Source organism: Homo sapiens, chromosome 8 (assembly GCF_000001405.40).
Source record: "Homo sapiens chromosome 8, GRCh38.p14 Primary Assembly".
NCBI classification, from domain to species: Eukaryota; Metazoa; Chordata; class Mammalia; order Primates; family Hominidae; genus Homo; species Homo sapiens.
In genome coordinates this window covers 110,029,187-110,033,626 of record NC_000008.11, presented here as the reverse complement: position 1 = coordinate 110,033,626, position 4,440 = coordinate 110,029,187, and the positions used below count along the sequence as shown (strand labels likewise).

The 4,440-nt window shown below is 37.3% G+C and overlaps 1 annotated feature.

Annotated features, from left to right (window-relative positions):
* Nucleotides 1,557-1,646: an enhancer, noted in NCBI's record as "active region_27816". NCBI's record gives its function as "activates an Ori minimal core promoter by ATAC-STARR-seq in GM12878 lymphoblastoid cells {active_cell/tissue: GM12878}" and the evidence as "EXISTENCE:reporter gene assay evidence [ECO:0000049][PMID:35858748]".

Below are 4,440 nucleotides of genomic sequence, written 5' to 3'. Positions count from 1 at the left end.
CACCTCAGCTTCACAAGTAGCTGGAACTACAGGCATGCCCCACCATGCCCAGCTAATTTTTTATGTTTTGTAGAGATAGTTTCTCACTATGTTGCCCAGGGTGATCTCAAACTCCTGGGCTCAAGTAATCCTCCCTCCTTGACCTCCCAAAGTTCTAAGATTACAGGTGTGAGCCACTGCACTGGGCCATGAATTATATTTTATTTATTGATTTGATAATCTGAAAAATGGATTCAGTCCAGGATCCAAGAGCTATTTATCATAAATTAAGTTTGTATAGTTTAATCTTCTCTATATATAAGCTTACCTTAGCATAGGTAATTTCTAATATCCAATTTAAATAAATTCTAAATACTTTTTTAGAGTTTAAGCGAAAAAGTATTAACACTAATATTCCTGTACCTTGCATAGTATGCCATTAGTAGTTTCCACAAGCTTTTGTTCTAACTCCTTGATTATATCAATGTCAAGGTTTTCCCTTCTTCTGCTAAACTGTGCTTCTGTCCCATAATTCCTTGACATGTTTTACAGCGAATACAATGCATAAATATTTGTGTTAGCCATTCATGATTTTTACCAAAACCATCCAGATCTTACTCTTCCGGGCACTTAGTAGGATTGTACTTCCTGGTCCCTTTGAGGAAGAGCAAGGTAGTATAACATCCTAGCCACTGAGTCATAAGTAAAAGTGACATGTCACCCTCTCAAGTCAAAGCATGTATTACATACATGAAAGCACCTAGAGCTGTCTTTATTTCTGCCATAGTGACCGCAAAGCTTCAAGATGGTGGCTATTTTGTTTGCCTGGTCTCTGAGTGACCACCGAGAGCAGAGCCCACCAGCTGATCTATGATGAACATGTAGCTTGAGGAAGAAAGAAATCTTCTTTGTTTTCAGCTAATCATAATTGGACTGTTTATTATTTCAAGGTAATGGAACCTATCCTGCCTGAACCTACTCCAGCCATGTGCAGTTTCAATTCCTTCCTCAGGCCTTGGTCCCCAGTCTTAATCTAGCAAGGTAAGCTGCACATCATAAAGGCTTTATAATCACCCCTTTGTCCATCTCCCTTGAAATTAGGCCAGGACCAAGTTCCAGCGGACTTCTTTTATTATTTTTCAGAGCATAGTCCTTTTCTAGCATTGCTTCTAAAGCTGAAGTCACTTCCTAAGATAACAATACATTAAATCCTACTAATCACTCTACAAACAAACAATGTTTTTCAAAGTATGTCTTAGAAAAACAGAGTTGGTCCCACCAACAATTTCCTTTTGAAGTGTCCATACTTAAATTTAATCGTGTGTGTGTGTGTGTGTGTGTGTGTGTTTAGCCTTCATTGCATTTTCTTAATTTGGGGAACTGTTAAGAATGATTCCTCCCCAATTCTAACAGATTTTAGCTGTCAATCATGTTGGCTGGGAATGTTAGGTGGCTCACACCTGTAATCCCAGCACTTTGGGAGGTCAAGGCGGGAGAATTGCTTGAGCCCAGGAGCTGGAAACCAGCCTGGGCAACATAGTGAAACCTCATCTCTACTAAAACAAAACAATAATAACAATAACAAAAAGGGATATGGGTGTCACTCAGGCTAGCCAGTCAGAGTACATTACTATGAGAAGAACATAGTTGACACAAGGACAGGCACTGGGCCTAAACAAGGCCAGCCATAAGCCCTTTGAGTGGTTGACACACATTCTGGCCCAATAAGGGCTGTGCTCTTTTTCCGTAAGATCACAATGTGTAAGGATGATATACATATACATACTAGTCTACCAGGGATCATCCTATTGTTACATGGAGAAAGCATGCTCAAAAAAGGAAATGAAACTAAAACTGAGAAAAAGAGTTGTATTGAGGGGTGTGGGGGGATGGTGAGAACAGGTATTTCTGATGACATCAACTGACTCCTTTTAGTTGTATCATGCCTAAGTTTTGGATCTCCTAATTTTGAGGAGGCTTATATTTTGTGTTTGTTATTTGTTTTGTTTTGCTGGAGCTAGTTTTAGTTGGCTTATCAACAAAAGTGTCTTTTCCCCTGACTCCTCTTCTCCCACATATCTACATGGATTCTCCTCACATCCCTTTTGGATTTCTAAGTAAAAACAGTCACCAACACAGAGGGCTCTGGCCTGGCCACATTGATGTACATAACATTTTCACTTTTGTACTTCTTATAAGTTTGTGTTTGTTTGCCATGATCCTGTAGAAAGCAAAGTTTTTAGATTGTAGTTCATTGTTATATCTCTCATAAGTGTCAATATATATTTGTCAAATACAGGAATAGATAAATAAATGTGTGTTCTTTCCCCACTATGACCACATTAGTTGTCTTACCTAATTCTACTTTTCCCTGGATTCATAAGATCTTTATCTATATGGCAAATATGAAAATACTTTTATGACAAAATTTAAACTAGTCATGACTTTAACTTTCCCTCTTCTTCTGCCTAAATACAGTTTTTTGCAGTAGATTGTTCTTGCTGTCTAGCTACATTCTAAGAAGCTACACTACTTTTCAAAATCACCTGAATTATTTAGTAAATTACACTTTCAGTAAATTTTTATAGGTTTAATACTTAAATACTTTGAGGGACTAATTTATCGAACTGTGCCCTTGTGGCAATGAAAACAAAAACCAACTTCTTCCAAAAGTCTCTACGTCCCTGACAGGGAGTAGCTAAGACAAAGAGGTAAATTTTATTTTGTTATCTAATTTTTACTTTTTTATCACTACTCAGCCTCACAAACCCTTCCCCCAAACTACTTTCCTGTTCTGTATTCACTGACAGCACAGTTGACCATGCAAATCAGATAGATACTAGATAGATAGATAGATAGATAGATAGATAGATAGATAGATAGATAGATAGATAGATAGATGTATATATGCATTACACACACACACACACACACACACACACACATATACACATACCCTTGCATTCACTTATGAAATGGTGTATTGCCTCAAGAATTATATCAGAACAAAAAAAATGAAATCCAAAATTAAAAATGGATTATGAGTATTGAGAACACACCTCTTTTTCCTCTTTTCCAAATCTCCTCAGAAAGGGAAATTGTTTTAAAAGGCCAATCCACAAAGGAGAGAGCAGAGGCAAACCAGTAATACAGATTTAGACGTCGAAATGCAGATGCATTTGAGTAAGCCAAAGCTTAAATTGCAATGAGGAATTTCAAGGGGCAACTCAGTTTACCATCCAGAATTACCAAAGTGCTGTGGAATTGGTAGCTTCCAGTCCTTCTAGAGACTGTGGAGAAAAGAACTATTTCTTATTAATAAGTGACATCTAGGCATTTGCCCTTCAAAAGAAAACTAGTTAGTTTCTGCTTTGAGGAATATGTACAGTATGGCTACACAGCCCTGCCAGAACATCCTGTAGTAAAGCTCGCAGTGAACAAATCCAATCATGTTCTCAAAGTCCTCAGCCAGCCTTTAAGTTCCTCGCTGTTACAGGCGAGCAGCATCATAGATTATGAGACACTTGAAGGAAGCCTCTACGAAAAAATCAAGGCCGAGTAAAAACAGAAAAGGGTAATTTAAAGGGAACAGAGACCATGAAGTGTTAGTATGCATATATTAAAAAGGAAAATATTATAATAATAAAATTAGACCCAGATACTATCAAAATGAAGCATTAAGATAATAAAAAAGAAGTGCCCTTGAAAATTAAAGAAAATTATAGCAAAAGGTTTTAAAATATTCATATGTTAAAAGGCAGAATTTAGGACACCTGTTATTTTTTAAAAGTTTTTAAAAGGGGATGAAAATAAGAGATAAAAGATAAAACTAAATCAGCAGACCATTGCACAAATTTCAGTAGCCAAAAGATAGCAGTTCCAAAACAAATGAACAGCAAAAACTGAGGAAAAGAAATACTCTCTGAAACAATTAAGAGATCTTCCACAAATAAGACCATGAGTTTGTACATTGAAAGGACCCATCTATTGCCCAGCATGAAGGAAGAAAACAGACTAACTCAGCCATTTTATCTTTCATTTTTTTTTTAATTATACTTTAAGTTCTAGGGTACATGTGCACAATGTGTAGGTTTGTTACATATGTATACATGTGCCATGCTGGTGTGCTGCACCCATTAACACGTCATTTAACATTAGGTATATCTCCTAATGCTATCTCTCCCTGCTATCCCCACCCCACAACAGGCCCCAGTGTGTGATGTTCCCCTTCCTGTGTCCATGTGTTCTCATTGTTCAATTCCCACCTATGAGTGAGAACATGCAGTGTTTGGTTTTTGGTTCTTGCGATAGTTTGCTGAGGATGATGGTTTCCAGCTTCATCCATGTCCCTACAAAAGACATGAACTCATCATTTTTTATGGCTGCATAGTATTCCATGGTGTATATGTGCCACATTTTCTTAATCCAGTCTATCATTGGACATTTGGGTTGGTTCCAAGT